This window comes from Homo sapiens, chromosome 7 (assembly GCF_000001405.40).
Source record: "Homo sapiens chromosome 7, GRCh38.p14 Primary Assembly".
NCBI classification, from domain to species: domain Eukaryota; kingdom Metazoa; phylum Chordata; class Mammalia; order Primates; family Hominidae; genus Homo; species Homo sapiens.
The window spans coordinates 111,546,032-111,568,190 of NC_000007.14; the positions used below are offsets into that span (position 1 = coordinate 111,546,032).

The 22,159-nt window shown below is 38.9% G+C and overlaps 1 protein-coding gene across 28 annotated transcripts in view, besides 1 other annotated feature; it reads right to left on the minus strand.

The window, feature by feature from the left end:
* IMMP2L (inner mitochondrial membrane peptidase subunit 2) overlaps nucleotides 1–16,461 on the minus strand; it is an 899,849-nt gene extending 883,388 nt beyond the window's left edge. For 16 of the 28 annotated variants that reach the window (XR_007060162.1, XM_047420929.1, NM_032549.4 and 13 more), the window contains exon 1: nucleotides 15,820–16,461. The gene's annotated coding sequence lies outside the window, so the exon portion shown is untranslated. The remainder of the gene's footprint in view (nucleotides 1–15,819) is intronic. The other 12 variants (NM_001350963.2, NM_001244606.2, NM_001350961.2 and 9 more) reach the window with 2 other exon arrangements.
* Nucleotides 15,993–16,622: a silencer, noted in NCBI's record as "silent region_18543". NCBI's record gives its function as "represses an Ori minimal core promoter by ATAC-STARR-seq in GM12878 lymphoblastoid cells {active_cell/tissue: GM12878}" and the evidence as "EXISTENCE:reporter gene assay evidence [ECO:0000049][PMID:35858748]".

The following is a 22,159-nucleotide window of genomic DNA, read 5'->3' on the forward strand; positions in this document are numbered from 1 at the left end:
ATTACATTTCAGTATATATAAACTGCCTTATTTTTAACAACATAAATATTTCATTATATATACTATAATTTATTTATCCAGTCCCCTAAGGATGGGCATTTGTTTCCAGTCATTGCCAAGAGTATCCTTAAATATATGTTATTTCACACAATTACAGGATCTATAGGATACAATCTAGTAGAAAACTTAAATGCTATATATATTTCAAATTTTCCAAACTGACCTCAATGAAAATTGCACAAATCCATACTCCCATTAGCAATGATCACACTTGCCTAGTTCCCTATACCCTCAATGACACATTGTGTTTTCAAAATTTGTTTCTTTGCCAATTAGGTTTTAAAAAAAGGCATCTCATTAGAGTTTTAATTTTGCATTTCTCTTATTATGAAATATTAATACTCTTTGTATCTTTGTCCATTTTTCTATCCAATTGTTGGTCTTCTTCCCATTGAGTTGTTCGTGCTCTTTATATATTTATGAAATCAGCTGTCTTCCTATGATATGAATTGCAAACATTTTTTCCTAGTTTTTCTTTGCTTTTTGATATACTTTGTTTTCTTAATTCTCAAATTTAGGAACAAAAGTACTTCCACTATGTCTTTGTTCAAACTATATTCCTTATTTTGAATGTTCTTCCCTTCCTTCAAAGGTCAATTCAAGTTGATGTCTCTGCTCTCTCCCTAATCACTCAAGATCACCTTGATTCAAAAATTATTTAGTGAGAGCCTACTGCATTATATTTACAAATAAGTAAATCCAGTGAATTTTGTGATATAGTAGCACACAGCAAGGAAAATTTATAGAGGCCACTAAACATTTAAATTGTATCTGAAAAAATGAGAAGATATGATCCAAATTTTAAAAATGAAACAAAGGCCCAGGTAACGAGAACTTATTGTCTATAAATTAGTCTCATTGGGGTACAGAATGCTAATGTTGTAGTGAAAAAGAGAAAAAGCTGAAGAGGCAAGCAGAGCCAGGTAGGATAGGTCTTTTAGGCCAATTTAAGTAAGTTTTTCTTAATCTAAGGGCAACTAGAAGCCACAGAACCATTTTAAGCAGCAGAATGCTGGTCAGAGAAGAATTTTACAAAGACCACTGACTGCAATCTTGAGTTTAACCAGCACTTCAGTGAACAGAGTTGAAACTGATTCAAATATCAAATATACTCTTATTTATTCAATAAGTGAATTTTAAACCACTATGGAATAGAATGCTACAGAAAGGTGAAATAAGGTACTGTGCTGCTCTACTTCCTTAACTGAGGGCTTGGAACAATCACTGTTGCAAGTCAATTTAAACAACCAGACAATCAGACCATGTTAAAGATGAGACCTCTAATAATAAAAAATCATAGTTGATTCTCACTTTATCATAAAATCCAAAACGGACAAGTATGGGCCCAAATTCATGCAGTTCACTCAACAACTGTACTCTTACTTCTCCATTGTAGGCTAAACAAACTGTCATACCCCCCCCCCCTTTTTATCCTGCTTTTTTGCTTGTTTTTTTTTAATTTTTTATTTATTTAGGTTGGGGGAGACAGGGCCTTGTTCTGTCACCCAGGCTGGAGTACAGTGGTGTGATTATGGCTCACTGCAGTCTCAAACTCCTGGGCTCAAGAGATTCCCCTGTCTCAGCCTCCTGAGTAGCTGGGACTACCCATGGGCACCACCACACCAGTCTAATTTTTTTTTTTTTTTTGAGACAGGGTCTCACTGTGTTGCCCAGGCTGGTGTACAGTGGCATGATCACGGCTTACTGCAACCTCTGCCTCCCAGTCTCAAACACTCCTCCCACCTCAGCCTCCCAAGGAGCTGGGACCAGAGGCACATGCCACCACGTCCAGCTAATTTTTTGTATTTTTGGGAGACACAGGGTTTCACCATGTTGTTCACACTGGTCTCAAACTCCCAGACTCAAGTGATCCTCCTGCCTCAGCCTCACAAAGTGCTGGGATTACAGGTGTGAGCCACTGCACCTGGCCCATCCTGCTTTCAACAGATGACATTAAATGTCCAGAAAGAATTCATGAGATGTTATGACCATTGAATTTCCCCACGTTTAGCCTGGGTAGTGAGAAACCAGTTTCAGGGAGAGAATATTATCTATCAGGGAGAGAATATTATCTATCTTGTCACCCAATTCAATCCTCTAAAATGACCTTCTATGTGCTTGCTACAAAAAAAAAGTTCTTCCAAACAAATACATTCAAAAAATAAAGTTTGTTTGACTGCATGCTTCTCTAGAATGCTTTTAAAATTTTCTTCTCCCCATTCTCAATATCATAAATCAGGTAACACCTAACAGGAATTGTCTGTACTATTTCTTATTTGCTGGTGACAATTCCTTTTTGATTCCCCATGTCTACTTTAGGGGTTAGTGGTTTAACAGTCATTCTTACATCTTTTGTCATAGGATATTCCACCGTTCTGTCTTTAGATATATGATACACTTTGAAGTTAACAGAAGAAAGTAAATTAGTATAAATACAAAAAGTTGATATTACAATATAATAAGCATGTCAATGGTACTAACAGGAGATGACAATTACACCTTTATCTCGAAGTAATCACCATCAACCATTCTCAAACTCAGAAGTGTATAGTTTTTTTTATAATTTTAATTCATTATCATGTCACTTACCATTTTTCTCTAAGTATTTTAAACTATAGGGACATTTTGATTGAAACTAGAATTGTATTCAATACAACACCTCCCTCAGGAATTTAACTTTACAAGCCTATTTCTATTCTCTTCCCAAGAATCTTTCCATCTAATTCTACCTTGCCCTCGTGGCTTAACCCATACAGAGACTGGTCATAAGTGCTTTAGAATCTAGCATTTTCTTCCTACAAACAGGAAATAATGTGTCTCTGACACTATCCAAAAATGTGGCAACATAATTTATGCTTTTGGAAGGAAGACTAACATCTCAAGCTGACAACTAGGTAATAAATATGATTAAGACCCAAGCACACAATGAGAATATCCCAAAGGGTATACCTTTCAGAAGAAGACAAGGCTTAATCAGTGAGACATTTTCAGCAAAAAATACAGTCATTTTTTTCTCAGATGCTCCTAAATAACCATCTTTTTGGCAGTATTGACTTGTTAGCCCCAAATCATTATTTCCCTTCTTTACTATTAATCTTCAAAACAAAAAAATTTAAGTCTATGATAGTAACCAAGTCTGACTCATTAACCGAACAATTCCCCACTATTCTCTGAGTTTAAATTCACATAGGATTCTTACAAACAGCTTATGAAGTCCTCAAAAATAACCCATGAAGTATGTGTTATCTCTGCTTTCCCAGAAGGAAAATGAAGTTCACAGACAAAAAGTGACTTGTTCATGTTCACATAGGTAATAACAGAGCTAGCACCTGAATAAAGATCTTACATATCCTTTTCACTATATATCACCACTTTAACATCTGGATATTTATATTTAAAGCCTATTTTTTAACTTTTAATATAGAAGTTTTAACTGAATGTTTAGAGTATTAGCATAATGTAGTCATATACATCAGACAGGTCTCAAAAAATCTTCTAATATGTTGTCATAATCCACATACTCAGACTACAGGATGTCTCTTAAACATGAGAAATAGTAAGATTCTGGCCACGTGTGGTGGCTCACACCTGTAATCCCAGCACTTTGGGAGGCCAAGGCAGGTGGATCATCTGAGGTCAGGAGTTCAAGACCAGCCTGGCCAATATAGTGAGACCTCCATCTCTACTAAAAATACAAAGATTAGCCAGACATGGTAACACATGCCTGTAATCCCAGCTACTTGGGAGGCTGAGGCACGAAAATCACTTGAACTTGGGAGGCAGAAGTTGCAGTGAGCCGAGATCACGTCATAGCACTCCAGCCTGGATGACAGAGCGAGACTCCGTGTCAAAAAAAAAAAAAAAAACATAGTGAGACTCATAAAAAGCACAAGCTAATTCATTTATAAACTGATTCAAACTGCCCTCACATAATAACAGTGCTAAATAGTTATTAATATTTAACAAAACTAAATAATAATTATTCAGTATTTAAATCTGACACTAAAAAAAACTCTTATTCAAGCAACTATTAAACAAATAAGCTCCTGGGAAAATACCAAGATCCTTAGTAAATAATCTGCAATACCAATAAAACTAAAAATAAAGGCCAAAAAGGCTACATACTGTATGATTCTAACTCTATGACATTATGGAAAAGGCAAAAACATTGGAGACAGTGAAAAGATCAGAAGTTACCAGGGGTTAGGAGAAGGGAGGGATGAATAAGCACAACCCAAGATTTTTAGGCAGTGAAAATACTCTGTATACTATAAGCATACATACATGGCATTACACATTTGTCCAAACCCACAAAATGCACTACACCAAGAATGAACCCTAATGTAAACAATGAACTTTGGGGGATAATGATGTGTCCATGTAGTTTCATCAATTGTAGCAAACGTACCATTCTGGTGGGGGATGTTGATCATGCAGGAGAGGCTATGCATGTGTGAGGGCAGGGAGTAAATGGGATATCTCTGTACCTTCCATTCAATTTTACTGTGAACCAAAAGACCCTAAAAAAAAGTCTATTTTAAATAAGGCAAAATATCTGCGGCAATCTTAATCTTCTCCTATCAATTATTACTTCACAGGTCCTCTGTTAACTATTTAGTAGAAAGCATCCTTGGCTGTCAATGCTAACCTTCTGCACAGCTCTTATTTACACACACATTGCTCCTCATAACATCTGCTCTGCCCACTGTAGCCTGCTTATCCTCTAATGGTCATCAGTATACTGAGTCCAAAGACAGGGAAGGAGTCAGGTACAAATGAGATGGAGAAGACAGGTAGTGGGGCTAAGGAAGCAAAGAACTGCTAAAGAGGGAAGTCAGCAGATAAATCTGCAGGAGAAAATCTGCAGCAACAAGGAGAAAAGAATCCTGAGTTGATACAAATTTGTTTATTGGTTTACATAATGGGAAAATCATATGAAATGAAATTATCCTAAAATACAAAACATGATGACATTACAAACATTTCCCTTCTTTAAAAAAAAGTCTTTGCTGTATACAATTCCGTAACTAGAACTTGATAATCTGTTTGCAATGTGTCCCCCAGCGACAAGCAAGATGATTTTTCAAAAGTTGACTGTAAATGCTACATTTTTCAAAGGAAAGATATATAAAAGTGTGTGTGACAAAGACCTATGTCTCAGAATAACTTGGAAAAAAGTACAAATATTAAATTTTTATGATTTATTGCCTGAAAGAAAGTTGTACACTTTTATATTCTGGGTATTCTTAATCTAAGAAGTCAAGAACATACTATGTATTACCAAACTGGGCAAGAGTTCAATGAGATTCTGAAAGTTATACCTAACGTACTATGTATTACCAAAAACATACAATATGTTTAGTAACAAATAGTATGTTAGGTATGTTAGGTATGACTGTTAGAGGTGTGTGTGTGTGTGTGTGTGTGTGTGTGTGTGTGTGGTCACTTGCTTGCTTTGGTCATCGGTGAGGAAGCCAGGCTAAGCAACTAACAAAGAGTCCAAATATCTGAGTCATTTATGAGAGGCTAAGGGCTCCAGTGGCAAATCAGGGACCTATAAGACAGGCTCAAAGATGGTTCTGGCAGGATCCACCACCACCATCACTACCACCTCAGCAAAATACAACCTTCTTCATCTGAAGTTTCAGGGAAGCACAAAGGCTCGAGTTCTGCCAGCAGTCCAGCTCAGTAAACACTGATTAAGCACCAGTGAAGTACAAAGCATTAGGTTAAAGGTGATAAAAGACACTGAATAGGAGGAAATATAGCCCCTACTACCTTAAGAATTTTCCAGTAAAAAATATGGTAAGACTATAATCCAGGCAAGGTAGAGCAAGTACTAAAAGAGAAATACAAAGAAGGCATTCAGAGGTTTCCTCAAGGAGATGCTCTAGAATGAAACCTGAGGCTATTACTCAGATGACCAACAAGTTCATGCTATAGCCACTGCTCGTTTATAATTTTCTCCCATTCAATGTACTACTTCTACACCAGAGATGTGAGAAACTTGAAAAAGGCTATTTTGTTCTAGCTGATTATTAAAGGGGGAGAATTCTTGAATATAAAGTAAGATATAAGGTAAAGCAAGCAGGAAAGGATTTGGAGCAAGGTGTGTCATAATGCTAACATGGCACAAAGCAAAATAATTCAACTTCCATTCAGTTTTACTGGTCAAAAGGAATAGCATCATTTTTGTTTTGTTTTGTTTTGTTTTGAGACAGAGTCTCACTCTGTCACCCAGCCTGGAGTGCACGGGCACAATCTCTGCCCACTGCAACTTCCACCTCCAGGGTTCAAGAGATCCTCCTGCCTCAGCCTCCTGAGGACCTGGCATCACAGGCATGTATCATCACACCCGGCTAATTTTTGTATTTTTAGTAGAGACAGAGTTTCACTATGTTGGCCAGGCTGTTCTCAAACTCCTGACCTCAAGTGATCCACCTGCCTCGGCCTCCCAAAGTGCTGGGATTACAGGTGTGAGCCACCATCACTTCTATAACACATTTATATGCTGCTTTAATGGTTTACAAAGGACTCTCACATAAATGCTTACAATGAAACTCAAAGCAATCCTATGTCAGGTAGAGACTGTTATCCTCTCAGAGAGCCTACCCTCACAAGACAGTCCACAATGATCCTTGCCTCATGTCCTTGTGTAATCCACTCCCATACTGAATCAGGGCTGGTCTGTAGAACCAATTGAATACATCTGAAATGATGGTGTATGACTTCCACAGGTAAGTCATAAAGGGCACTGCAGTTTCTACTTTGGCAGCTTGAATCTCGGGAAAGTCATCTGCCATCTCATGAGAATAGTCCCACGGCAAGCCCATTGTGGAAAGGAACCAACCTGCCAACACCAACTGGCCAGCCAAGTGAGTAAGCCACCTTGGAAGTGAATCTTTTAGCTCCAGTGATGCTCCTATAAAACTTCCACTCCTGCTGATATCTGACAGCAACCTCCAGAGAACCAAGCAAGGACCCTCAAATTGCTGACCCACAGCAACCATGAGATAACAAACAATCATTGTTGTTTTCAGCCACTAAGGTTTTCATGTTACAAAACAACAGAGAACCCAATTTTACATATGAGGCTCAGAGAGGTTAATTTACCAATTATCATATAGGAATGAGTAGAGAAAACAGATCTGGAACCCAGTCTTTAGGCTTTAGGTTCAATTTGTCATTAAACAATACCACTTTCTTCTCAACTAAAATAAGGTATAATACTGTAAGGATGATCATTCCTACACGATTATATGACTGATACTAGTATGTCAAGCTTCCTACAGTACAGAGACACAGTATATGTCCCTGCATTCTTAACGAATATAATGGGAATCTCCAAAATAAGTCCATTTGTGGTGCTCCATTGTGCTCTGTGGAGTTGTTACTATTTTCTGGAAAATGGCTATTTTTAATGTGCATATCATGAAAATAAACACTTAACACATTTAGAGAATTTTAATACTAAAATATTACTGACACTGAGACTACACACTTAAATCTTAATTACAATAAGCATCTGTGTAATTTTAAACAATTAGAATATATCAGACAGGAAATGCTCAACTGCTATTTCTTTAAGGTTCTGCATTTTGGCTTTAGGTCTTCAACCTTGTAGCATTACACAAATGTAGTAAAATATATCATCAAAATGCTCGTGATGGTAAAATATTAAATCAAAATCCATAAAGTAGTTCCTATCTTACAGGACAAGGTAGCCAGCTCTTAAGCCTGTCCACTTCTGGAGAAGGTCAAGAGAACATTTTATTGTTATAATCACATCTGCATATAATGTTCCTTCACACAAATCTCCTCTTTTGAGCCATATAACTTTGCAAAACAGGTAGGCAGGACGGGTATACTACCATCCTATTTTTCAATGATGGCCTTAGAGAAGTCTCAGTAACTTAACTAAGGATACGTAACTATTAAAAGGAATTCAAGAATCTAATCTACAATTTTTTAGCTCCAAATCCCAGCCTTTTCTTCTAAGCCATGTTTTAGCCCAGTGGTTCTCCACCCTGACTGCCATGAGGACACCTAAGATGCTTTGAAAATATCACTGCCTGGACCTCATCCCCCAGATACTTGATATAATTGCACTGGTTTGTGTTAGCTGTCTAATATATAATAAACCAGTGTTGGTAAATTCACAGAAAGTTTATATCACAAGGGAGAAAATGCTGATACGTCTATATGTAAACTGAAACATATTAACCCCCTAAGAACTCCCTCAAACACAAAAATATCTTGCAATAAAATCACGCAGAACAAGAAGAAAGGGAAGATGAGAAACCCAAGCCCCTTCTGCTGCTATCGTGGGGCCATTAAGGAATATTTTATTCCCCTAATCTTACTCCCCGAACCTCACCATGCCATATCTCAAGCTATAGCTCAGGTATCACCTTTTGTGAGACCTTCAGGATCACAAAAATAATGAAGTCCATTTTTTGCATCTATCTTACCTTGAACTCTATCATAGCACATATTGTCCCTCAAAGCATTGCTTTATTTTTATTTTATTATTATTATTATTATTATTTGAGATGGAGTCTTGCTCTGTCACCCAGGCTGGAGTGCAGTACCACATTCTCGGCTCACTGCAACCTCCACCTCCTGGGTTCAAGTGATTCTCCTGCCTCAGCCTCTGGGATTACAGGTACATGCCAGCATGCCTGACTAATTTTTGTATTTTTAGTAGAGACGGGGTTTTGCCATATTGGCCAGGCTAGTCTCGAACTCCTGACCTCTGGTGATCCACCCACCTCAGCCTCCCAAAGTACTGGTGCTGCTTTATTTATATATCCATTTTTCTCACTGCCCTGAGGGGTCCTTAACCCATTTATGCTGGAGGTTGCAAATTTTTTTTGTGAAAAATCAGGCCTTGGCGATGACCTTGAGAAGTAGGATATAAATAACTCCCACTAGCTTAGCGCTCCAATAATGGAGCACTAGGCATAAATGCATTAAGATCAGATCCCTATGTTACTCATCCTTCCTGCCATATATATCTTTGTATCCAGGGCCTTTACCATAGCAGATATTAATACATGTTGGCTATGCTGAATGATTTTTATGTTTGTTATCATTATTTCCTCCATTCTCCTAGCAGACACTCCTGTGAAATTTTTCAACTTTTAATAAAGGAAAATGGAGTTTTTACGCACAACTGGATTAGGTTAGAGAATAATGTATGCAAAAGGGCCAGACGTAGTGAGAGCAAGACAGCAGTGAACTGTGGGGCAGGAAAGAATAGAGTAGAAAGGACATTTAAAATTCATATCTGACAGTTGGGGTCAGATATGAATTTTGCAAGCCGGGAAGGAGTAGGCAAACAAAGCGACAACCTAATCTTCATTCACAAAAAAAAAAATATGACAAGCAAGGAATCAGGCAACTGTATTTTCAACATCTCCCTTTCTATGGTGTTTCTAACTCACAGCATACAGACATGTTGTTTCTCTCTCAAAAAATAAAATCTGAAGCAGTGATATGATTTCACTATGTATTTGACTTTTTTTTAAGATTCCACATGTGAGATAATACAATATTTTTCTTTCTGCATTTGGCTTACTTCACTTAGCATAATGTCCCCTAGGTTTACCTATCTTATGGCAAAAAGCAGAATCTATTTCTTTTTTAAGGCTGAATAATATTCCATTCTATATATGTACTGCAGTTTGATTTTCTGTTGTCTTTTGTTGGACAGTTAGGTTGTTTCCATATATTCACACCCATCAAGATGGCTACTACCAAATAAAACAAGAGATAAGTGTTGGCGAGGGTGGGAGAAAAGAGAACCCTTGTATACTATTGGTACAACCATTATGGAAAAAGTAGGGAGGTTCCTAAAGAAATTAAAAATAGAACTACCATTACTTCTATTTTGTACCAATTAGCCATCCCTCTTCTGTGTGCATGTATATATATATATATATACATACCCAAAGAAAATGAAACCGCAACCTTGTAAAGATATCAGTCGGAATTTTTAAAAGCTCTCTAGGGGATTCTAATATGTGTGCATACAGAGATGGAGAATAAAACAGTGATCCCAGGGGAGGGGGAAGGAAATTGAGATGTAGGTCAAAGGACACAAAGTAGCAGCCATGTATAATGAAAGAGTTTGGGAACTCATGTACAGCATCAGTACTATATAATACTGTATTGTATTCCTGACTTTTGCTAAATGAGTAGATTTTAGCTACTCTTGTCATACACACAAAAATGGATAACTATGTAAGATGATGGATGTTACTATGTCTCACTACAGTAACCATTTTACTATTTACATGTATTCCATAACATGTTATTTTCCTTAAATATACACAATAAAATGTATTAAGTAAATACCCTGACTGAAGAACAATTATCTCCTAAGAGGGACCCAAGCATATCTACTCTCTATTCTCATGTCCAGCCCCCTTCAGCCTCATCTCCTATTCAGTCCTTTACCCACAGCACGATAGCTTTACCTCCACCACTACAATGAAACCAGTGACTTCTAACAGTCATTGATGATTGTAACTTTACAATCATCATCATACTTAATGGCCACTCTCCTTCAGCATCTTTACATCTTTCTCTTTTATGGTTTCTCCTTTAAATTTTTACATTCTCTAAGACTAATTTTTAGCCCTTTTCTCTTCTCTTTCTATACAATTCCTCTATGTACTTTTATCCGTATCTATGGATACTTCAGTTACTCTCCATATGGTAAGAACACACAAATCTGTTTCTCCAGCCTTTGCAATCTCTTGTGATGTTCCAGGATCCTATATCCAACTGCCTTCTAGACATCTCACACTTGCCAATGATATGCCCTGCGAGCATGTTAAACACAGGTCCAAAGTTGAACTCATTCTCTTCTCCCTCATACCTTCTTCCTCTTCTCTTTTCCCACTCACAACCCAGAAACCTAGGAAGCATTCTAACATTCTCCCTCTCCCATATCTTTTACATTCAAACAGTCACAAAGACCAGCAAATTCTCCCTCATCTTACTTTTCCTAAACATTCTCACTTCTCTATTCCCACTACTTCCACCTTTATCTAAGCTTTCAACCTCTCTTATCCCTACTGATGTACTGTCCTTGAAAGCTTCCAGTCTTGCCATGACCCCACACCCAACCCCACTCTACCCTCAATCTACCCAGCACACTGCTTTCAGTGATCTTCCATGACACTCACAATTCTTCAGTGGCTCACTACTACACATGGTATAAGAAGTGTACCCTGAACTGGCTATCCAGTTTCATCTAGGAAGTGTACCCTGAACTGGCTAACCAGTTTCATCTCCTTTCACTCCTGACCTTGTCCTTCACACTCTAATATAACTGACCTACATATAGTTCCCAGTATACACTATGTTCTCGTAATGCCACACAACTACTCATGCTGTTAGCTTTACCTAGAAATGCTTTCTATTGCTTGTCAACATGCCCACTCCTACTCAGTTTTCAAGTCTCAGCTCAAACACAACCACTACTAAAACCCTTACCTGGTATTGCAGGCAGAGATCAAGAGCTCTTGCTAGATTTCATTTGTACTTGTACCTACCTCTGTTATAGCAAATAGCATACAGTATTTGAACTATTGGTCAAGATATCTGTAGTCCTACAGACTATAAGATCCTTGGTCAAAGATGACTTTTCATCTTTATATCCTCCTAACTAGTTCAATTCACACAGTCACTAGTTCCATGTACATTACTAGCTCAATGCAGATAGATATACTAAAAAAAGGAGGGGCGAGGTTAATGAATAAGGTACGAGTCAATGAAAGAACAAGAAAATCAACTGGACTTTGAGTATAGAAAAAAAAACACCAGATCTTAAGAACGTACAGACATCTTTAGTACAGACATCTGTTACTGTAGTACAGATATCCATTACTAAGTCCTAACCATTAAAAAAAATAGAAAAATATGGTTATTCAGGTAGTATGAAGATGACAAAGAAAAAAACTTATTATTGGACTAAGTAGACATTAAGAAGGTAAGAGTTTCCAGCGGAACAGTTGACAAAGATCAACAGAGAAGCCAGAGAAAAAGATGGTTCTTTCTAGGAAACAAGTAATTCATTGATCTAAATTCATGGACTGAGCAAAAGACTGCCACCTTTCTCTCAGTTCACAACCCCTCTCCTTTGTCATTATTCTGCATGACCCCTTCTGAGTCCTCACTACCAAATCCCCAATACCATGGGTAGTTCCCCTCCAATGGAGCCACAGGTCCAGGCCAGTGACTTAATCTGGATGCAAGGGCAAGGGATAGAAGGGTATCTTTGTTCTTGTGTCTAGGACTTTGAGGAAAAATGAAACAACTATTTACTGAGAATTTATTTTACGGCAGATTCTGTGCCACATTACACTCACTCACTGAATTTCACAGTAATCATAAGTAATTATCCCATTTATAGATGAGGAATTTGTGTCCAAGGTCAACAGTTAAGCAATAACAGGCCCTGCCTGAAAACCTAAGAATGACAACCTCCAGAGCTTTTTCTATACCCCTCACTACCTCAAAATGGAGGGAGACGTGGTCCAGCCATTCTAGGTTGGCACTCAGGAGACACTTACCTCCAAAACACTATTATATATGTTGATTAGAGTCTACAGTACCACTAATATATAATAAGCACACAATGAGTTTAAAAAGCTTTCCTTAGTACCTTTAGGAAAGTAAGTACTAGATTTCCTGGGGTTCTGATCTGGAAATCTAAATGCTATTTATTCCTATAAGTACATTGTTAACTTTACAAACAACAGACTTGAAAATGAACTTGTGGAATACAATGGGTTCTTAAGTAAGGCTTTTCTTTAAGAATATTTTCTTGCTTCCACAAAAAATACAAAAGCCACCAAAGATAGAATGATTTTGCCTTGTTAACTTGTAAGAACAATGACACTAGAAGAAACCTATGGGAAATGTGCTTATCTGACCAGGTGCTCATTTTCGGTGGGCTGTCATTTGACTAAAACATCATACTAAACCCTACAGACCACAGCTTATGAGAGAAATGCCACAAACTATAGCAGTACAGTTAATATGCCTATAATCTACTGACAAAACATACTCCTCAGTAAAGTGAAACCAGATGTCTGGTGTGAAATCAGATGTCTGTGAACTTGTCTTTCTCAGTTTCCAGAGCAGTATCAGATATACTAAATACACAGCTAAGCTGTATATTAAATCCACAACTTGGCAAAATCATGACAGTTTGGACATGAAGCATCAGCATTTTTATTGTAATCCTTATAAACCAAAGACATTTCCAAAATGGAAATCCTAAGTTTAAGTACTCAGCTAAATACAGTAATATGTCTTTCTCACTTTAAGAATAGTGTCAGGGCTTTTTAAACACATTATAGAAATTCTTTCCCTTCATTTTTCAAGCTGACACTCTTTATCCAAGGCTGTGGAATGATCTGATAAGGCCACATCAGGTGTCAGTCCTCGTCCCAGAAATTCTAGGATCAGATACACCAGGTGAACCCCTGTGAAAAGCAAATCCCAGGGAGGCTTAACAGCTATAGGAAAGTTAGGCACTACATGGCTTTCCACAATCAAAAGGAAGATCATAGGAAAGTAATGGGTGACCACATAGAAAAACAGGGAGGGAAATTTAAAAGTAAGTACTTCTATGCCAGGCACTGTTTTTTCACACATTCTTTTATATATACTCTTTGTTCTGTTTTGATGGATAAGAAATCAAGCAGCAGAGAAATTTTAATGGCCCAAAGTGACACAGCTAATAAAATAAGAGCCAGAAATCAAGCTCATGTCCAAAAGACTGTAAAAGTCATGCTACTTCTACATGAAGTTGTGGGGTGGAGTGAGGAGGGGTGGTAAATAGCCAAGAAGAAGGAGAAAAAGAAAGAAATTTACAATTTTATCAAATAACAGTGAAATATATATATATAAAACATGTATTATGTTCCACATATGTTCCATATATAATACGCAGTTAAGATGTATACATGTTTAACATATACTTAAGCTGCATATTTAGTATGTGTATATATGGAACAAAAAGTTGAAGAAACAAGTATCAAATTGTTAAGTGGTCATCTGAAAGTGGACTCATAGGAAACTCACTTATTGCCTTTTATACCCTCCCAGATTTAATTCTAAATAACTTTTTTTTGACTTTTTATTACTCTTATAACCAGAAAAAGACAAAGAACTATTCTAGCTTAGATCTTTTAAATGAGGCTAAATGCACAGAAACCCATGCAAGTTAAAAATGGTCTACTTTCGAATTTATTTTTCTAAGTACATCATCCTTTACACTCTCCATGATTCCTAATATTAGGTCCTTCTTATGGAACAACTACAAAAGTTATCCTCATCTAATTATTATACTCGTACACTGGAAAATGACTATAACATTATTCATTATAGGAAACAAATCATCAAGGTCAGCCATCCTTGTAAGTTTATTACTGAAAGTACTAGAAAGGCGGAATAATAATTCTGTTCTCCCACAACACTGTATAGACCTGCAAACCACTATGATCAGTAGTACAGGGAAAGTCTTGTAAATTAACATGTAACTATTGAGAAAATCCACAAAACTGGTGAAAGGCCTACCCCAAAACAGCCATCTCCAATACAATCTCATCATTCTCACCATCCTACTTTTATCAAAGTGCTGATAAAAGTGCGTAGCACATGGTAAGAGAGAATTAGCTATTGAATCAATGAAGGAACCCATTATCAATAAACAATCACTTCCTGTTTTCCATAAATTATGTGGTCACCTATCACTTGAGCACAAACAAATAGGCACGTTCAGGACACAGGCAGCCAGTATCAGAATAGGCAGCCTATCACAGAGGGCAATTCTACTTTTCCTGTGTAAGAATCCAAGAATGCAGTTTTACTACATTCCTGCTTGTAGCTAATCTGAATTTCAACTAATTTAAAACGGTTATTTATATGTGACATATAGGATGCATAATGAGCTCCCAACCTTGTGAGAGGAGCTGTGTTTCATTTCACCATACAGGGGAGAGGGAAGCAGTGTATTAAAGAAGTGATAGAAAAGTCCCACAGAAGAACCAATGAAATAGACCACACTGAAAATCACAGTAAGCCTCAGAGAACTTCAGTGTCCTTTTTGGCAACTTTTCAAAAGTGAATGGAATGCTTGCCAGGAGGTACCAAGAGTGAAAGCCCAGAGAAAAAGGCCCAGCCTGGTCATCTCTCTCCCCTCAAAACATCTTCTTCTGTAAGCTTGAGAGATCCCAAAGAACTTCAACACTTGTAATCTTGTTACTAACTTTATGCTTTGGGGTCCTAAAGGATTTTTTCAGGAGTACCCTTTTAAAATGTAAACATCCCTAGGGGGGTTACTGTTCATTATCAAACAGGACCTGGATTCTTTAGTGCTATGGTCTCAGGGATTAGTCAAAGCTGGCTAATAAGATAGGGGCCGGAGACAGACAACTAGAGAGGACCAATGTTCCAAGGTAAAAACAGGTAAAGGGGAAGTGCAGTTTTCTGTCGGGTCAAGGGGCTAAAAGGGATCCACATGCCCAAGCTGTTAAACTCTATAGACTGTGTGAGGCTGAAAACAGTCCGGGGCCTGGAGCCTGTGACTTTGAAGGTGGGTCCTCCAGTTCCCGATGAAAAGGTAGAATCTGGGCCCAAGTTCCCCACGAGCAGTTCTGGACATCTAGCCCTTCTCTCTCTCGCTCGCTCTCAGGATAAAGTCCTAGGTCCTTCCACCCCTGACCATTCCTTACTTACCCTTTCTCCCGCTCTTCCTCGGTGAGAAGGGGTAAGTGGTTATTTTGTGCCCTCGCCCAATTTGGCCAAAACCCTAAAAGTAAAAAACGACAGACAGACACGTGCTTTAAAATCATGTTGTTCAAGCCTGACGCTCTCCCACCACCTGCCCAACACTTCCAGGCAGAAGGCAGCGCGCCCCCACAGCGCTCCCTCACGGCCAGAGCCGGGGGCCGGACTAGGCCCCTTTGTGAGGACTGGGAGAGGGCGCGTTGTTGGGGCGCCGGCTCGGCGGGGAGGAGCGGGCCAGCTCCGGGCCAGGTGTGCCGCCTGTGGCGCCGGTTTCTCAACCTAGTTAGCCAGTGGCACCAAGAAGAGGACTAGGCTGGGGTGGCCGCCGCACGCGCCTCAGATAAACACGCGCACGCACACATGCTCGCGATCACGCAGGACTCGCGGCCGCGCACCCCTCCGCCTCCCGGCAACGCCCGCCCCGCCGGGGCCGGGGCCGACTCCCAGGGAAGGGTCCCCAGCCCAAGAGACCACCAAGGGTCGGCGGCTACGCGCCCGCCGACCCCTGCCAGCCTCACAGCCCCCCACCCGCCGCCGGACGCCGGGCGCCCGCCCTCCGCACCCGCTGCGCAGCTCAGCCCGGGGGAAGTCCCCGCGCAGACCCCGCCCTCCGCCGGCGGCAAGCTCCGCCCCGCTGCCCCGTCGCGCGCTGGCCGCCCGAAGCTCCGCCCCCGGCGGAAAACTGGTCTCTGGACCGCCCGCCCAGGTCGGGCTCAAAATGCGGCGTGGATCTGAAAGGATCAAACACAACACTAATTCAGCAAGCTATTATTGAGCACTTGCCCTAAGCTCAGCAACGTACTAATGGGGGAGACTACAATAAAGAGCCGAAAAGTCTATGAAACTGTGTCTTCAGCTCTTCCTCTTGTTTTAGAAGCCAGGAAACAGAGAACCCTCACAGTTACTTAAGTACAGGGCAGTAGTGGCAAAGCACCTCACTAGCGATCTCTGGGCAACTCTTCATTTCATTTTTTCCTACTCATGAGCACTCAGGAAAACTATTCAGTTTTGCTGCCTCCAGGTAAAACAAAGTGAGTAACACAGGACAGGCGGTTTACTTGAGAGAAACGGGAATTTCATACTGAAGCTTTTGCCCTCAAATGGTACAAACTCTTTTTTTTTTTTTCCTGAGACGGAGTCTCGCTCTGTCGCCAGAGCGACACTGCAATCTCCGCCTCCCGGGTTCACGCCATTCTCCTGCCTCAGCCTCCCTAGTAGCCGGGACTACAGGCCCCCGCCACCATGCCCGGCTAATCTTCTTGTATTTTTAGTAGAGATGGGATTTCACCGTGTTAGCAAAGATGGTCTCCATCTCCTGACCTCGTGATCCGCTCACCTAGGCCTCCCAAAGTGCTAGGATTACAGGCGTGAGCCACTGCGCCCGGCCGAATGGTACAAACTCTTAACTGGGTTATTACAACCTACAAAGAAACCTTCTTATCCATGTTATTAATTATCCTAATTCAATGTGGTTTAAAATGTTGATGAAAGTACCCAAATCATGGTGCTCCAACAAGCTGGATGCCAACCAGGTACTCGTAAGTACTTGCAATTACAGGTGCGATATTTTCATTCCATATCATCCCAAGATGCCCTTCCTTCACGTGAAGCAGCCAGAAAGATCAACTACCAGATTCCGCATGATTGAGGAATTGATAAATAGAAAGGGAAGACCGAAACCGGCCAAATTTTCCCTTCGAAGTGAAACTTGAGAAACTTGCGTGCATTTTACCTGAGTTCCTTTCTCAGCAGATAAACTGTCAGACCTCCCAGATAGTGTCAAGGAAATGCAACTTTCCAGAACACTACATCTGGACAATGAGGTGCATCTGCTGCCTGTTCACAAACTCCTCTTCCTTACCCCTCCATAATTCCCTGCTATAGAAAGCCCTAACTTTAGTCTCCCTAAGACATGTTTGAGACTGGTCTCCCTGCCAGCATCACCTGCATTAAAGCCTGTCTTCCCTGGCAATACTCGTTGTCTCAGGGACTGGTTTTCTTTGCTAGGAGCAACCCAACCTAGGCTGAAGCCCAGGCATTTAGCAGCAGTGGCACCTAGAAATACTGAACAGACATAAAATACTTTTTTTCTCCTTTTCTTACTCCTCCAGTTGTATCTTCATTATTTCTGTCTCTATTCTCCCTCTAGATACTGCCAAACTACTCTGTGCACTTTCAGATCACTTAATACTAATGTAAATAACAGACATTCTGGCACTCTTGGTTCAAAATTTATTCTAAAGGTTTAAGAATCTACTCAGGGTCTTAAATAGCCTGATAACTAAAATTCCAAGAGTTTCCTAAAGAGAGCAAAATTGCTCTCCTGTGAAGGGGATATGTCCCAGTTTTTCTTACTTGTCACTGAAATAATTACTGCAAAGTAAGCTCTTTTCGGCCAGTGCTTAAGGACTTAATTTCAAGAGCACTTAGGTGACAGGACCACCCTCATCAAATAGCAGTCAAGAACTATTTGGTACCATGACCCCAAATTGAATGGAGCTCCTGGTCACTAGGAACTGACAGTCTGGGATGGAATGTAGGTGAATAAACAACAAAGACAGGTGTTTATGGCCTTTATTGTATTGGGAAGTCAATAAACATACAAAAAGAGTTGCTAGGTCTGGCCTGATTTTATCACTAAGATTCATCAAGTGTACTTAAAAAGAAGCTAATATCTGGAAAGGGCAGAACTATGGTATATTAGTCAGGGTTTCCTAGAGGGACAGAACCAATAGGATAGACATATAAATATAAAGAGGAGTTTATTAAGTATTAACTTACATGATGACAAAGTCCCACAATAGGCTGTCTGCAAGCTTGAGGAGCAAGAGAGCCAGTCCGAGTCTCAAAATTGAAGAACTTTGAATCCGATGTTTGAGGGCAGTAAGCGTCCAGCACAGGAGAAAGCTGTAGGCTGAGAGACTAGGCCAGTCTCTCCTTTTCATGTTTTTCTGCCTGCTTTATATTCACTGGCAGCTTATTAGATGGTGCCCACCCAATTAAAGGTGGGTCTGCCTTTCCCAGCCCACTGACTCAAATGTTAATCTCCTTGGCAACACCCTCATAGACACACCCAGGATCAATACTTTCTATCCTTCAATACATTCAAGCTGACACTCAGTATTAACCATCACATATGGAGACAGTAAAAAGATCAGTGATTGCCAGAGGTCACAGAGGAGGGGGATATGAAGCACAGATTTTTAGGGCAGTGAAACTATTCTGTATGATATGATAATGGTGATGCATGTCATTATACATTTGTCCAAACCCATAAAATATACAACCCAAAGAGGGAGCCTTAATATAAAATCTCAACTTTGGGTGATAATGATGTCAATGTAAGTTCATCAATTGTAACAAATATACTGCTCTGGTACAGGATATTCATAGTCAGGGAGGCTGTGCAGATGTGGGGTACAGGAATATATAGGAACCCTATACTTCCTGCTCAATTTTGCTCTGAACCTGAAACTGATCTTTGGGAGAAAAAAGTTTATGAGAAAAAGAAGCAGCAGTTAGAGCATCCTATTTTATTCTAATTTATCAATTAAATTCTAAGCTGAATATTTGGCTTTATGTATCTAGTTCAAATATATTTGCCTTGTCTCCTTATATATTAAAGCAGACCTCTATTTGTTGTTAATACCATCAGGGGAAAATGAATCATAAAGTCCTAACTAAGGTACAAATTTAAACTATAGTTAGGCATCAAATCTAATGGTCAAAGAGATATTTAAACAAAGTTAAAATAATTAAGTTTACAGATTCCACAAATATAGATATTAAAATATATTCCTATCTATACATACTTACCATTGGTAAGCAAATAATAGAAGGTATCATAGAGTAGCAGTTCTCAAACTACTTTTTGATCTCAAGTTCTCTTTACATTCTTAAAAATGATTGAGAACTTTAAAGAGCTGTTGTTTATGTGGGTTATATATGTCCATATTTACTGTATTAAAATTTAAGATAGAAAAATGTTAGACATGTGTTTGCTTAATTTAAACCCATTACATGTTACTGTAAAAGTTATTTTTATAAATAATGACTACTTTTTTTCCAAAAAATTAGAGAAAAGTGGCATTTTTAACATTTTATAAATCTCTTATTATCTGGCTTAAGGAGAGCACTGGATTCTCATATTCTGCCTCTGCATTCAGGCTGTTGTGATATGTTGTTATACCTAAGATATGAAGAAAATTAACTGTCATACGAATTCATAGTTGAAAAAGAGAGGACCTTACAAAGCTCCGGGAAGGGTTTCAGTAACCCCTAGGTGTTCTCAAACCTCACTTGGAGAATTACTGCCAAATGGCCTTTTGCATTTCATTTGTTTGAATGTCATATATTTCCACACAGGCTTCTGTTAACACCTGAAATTATAGCCCTTTACTTATTTCAAGCTAAAACTCATATTTGTCAGCTCATATCAAACCATGACATTTCAATAAAGTTTTTAAAAGCTTTTACTATAGCAACTCTGATGAAATTGATATTATTATTTGAATTGATATGAAAACACTTGAGATTTCATTTATATCCTTCATCTCAAACGTTTTGGAAAATTTTGAATATAAATTGTACCATCTGGAAAAAATGTAAGATTGGTATATAGTTATTAATCCAATTTTAGGTATGCTTATAACAAGGTATATCCCCTTTTATAAAAATAATTTAAAAGCGAGCTTAAAACAAAAACAAAACAAGCAATTACAGTTTTATTTATGAACTAAATACTTGATTCTAAACTTACTACCTTGGAATAAAATTTTAAATATATAACCTTTCATTTTTATTACAAATAAAAATAATGTAAATCATCCAGTTTGGGGTTTTTTAATACAATTTCCAACTAAAAGAAACTAGAGCTGACCAACCAAATGTCTGACTTCAGATCTGGGTCAGGTTATACACAAGATGAGCATAGGATAACTTGTCCCACAAAGCCGGGAATCCATTAACAACAAAATGTGTCAAAGGGACACAGAAACCAATATCAAATAGCTCCTTTGGCCAAAGATGGACAATTTAAGCATCAAAAAAAGTAATGGATGCAGTTGTTAGAAACATACTGAATATATAAAAATTCATGAGTTCTTAATGATGTTCCAAAAAGGGGAGGTCAATAAAAGGAAAAAAAAAATCCACTGGACACTATTGCAAGTAGCTAGCATTAAGCCCTTATTCTAAAATTGTCCATTAAAAGAAAATAATTCAAATTTTCTGATGTATCTTTCCTGATTAAACTATATATCAGAAAACCAAATTGGTGTTGAGGGAAAGTTGTTTTTTATAATAAATATGAAACAACAGAATTGGAAACCCACCATTTAGCAATCTTGCATTTAATAAATGATTCAGGCAACCATCATCAATGGATCAAACCAACAGATGAAATGTTCATGAGGAACTTCACAATGGAGATCAGACCGTCACTACCTCAGCCTAATAATCTGTCATTACAAGTGGGACTCCAGACATTGTGTGCTTCCTGATCTAATGCCATCTGAAGCACTCAGCACAACTATGAAATGTTATCACCCAAAAAACATGAATGGGATCTAATCAAGCCTTAAAACTGACTTCTCACTTACAGGCTTACAAAAAACATGAGGGTTACAGGAATAAGTTAAATGACACCACAAAGAGGCTGGGCGCAGTGGCTCGCACCTATAATCCCAGCACTTTGGGAGGTCGAGGAAGGTGGATCACTTGGGGCCAGGAGTTCAAGACCACCCTGGGTAACATGGTGAAACCCTGTCTCTACTAAAAATAAACAATGAGCCAGGCATGGTGGTGCGTGCCTATAATCCCAGCTACTCAGGAGGCTGAGGCAGGAGAATCGCTTGAACCCGGGAAGCGGAGGTTACAGTGAGCCAAGATGGCACCACTGCACTCCAGCCTGGATGACAGGGTGAGACCCTGTCTCAAAAAAAAAGAAAAAAAGATGCCACAAAGAAGGAAACAGGTAAATCTAGAATGGAGTAGAATGGAGGACACTCTCTAGGACAATTGATGTAGTCTCTACAACAAGTTAATAACTGGACACACAGGAGAGGGAATGGGTCAGGAGAAGCCTAGGTTAAAAAAAATACAGCCATGAAATGTAAGATGTGAACCTTTATTTGGATCCTGATTGAAACATCACAACTATAAAGACTTGTAAGACAATCACGGACATTTAACTATGGACTGGTGTTAGATGATACCAAAGAAATATTATTTTATTAGGTGTAATAATGGCATTGTGATTATGTAAGAAAATGTCCATAATTTTTGGAGA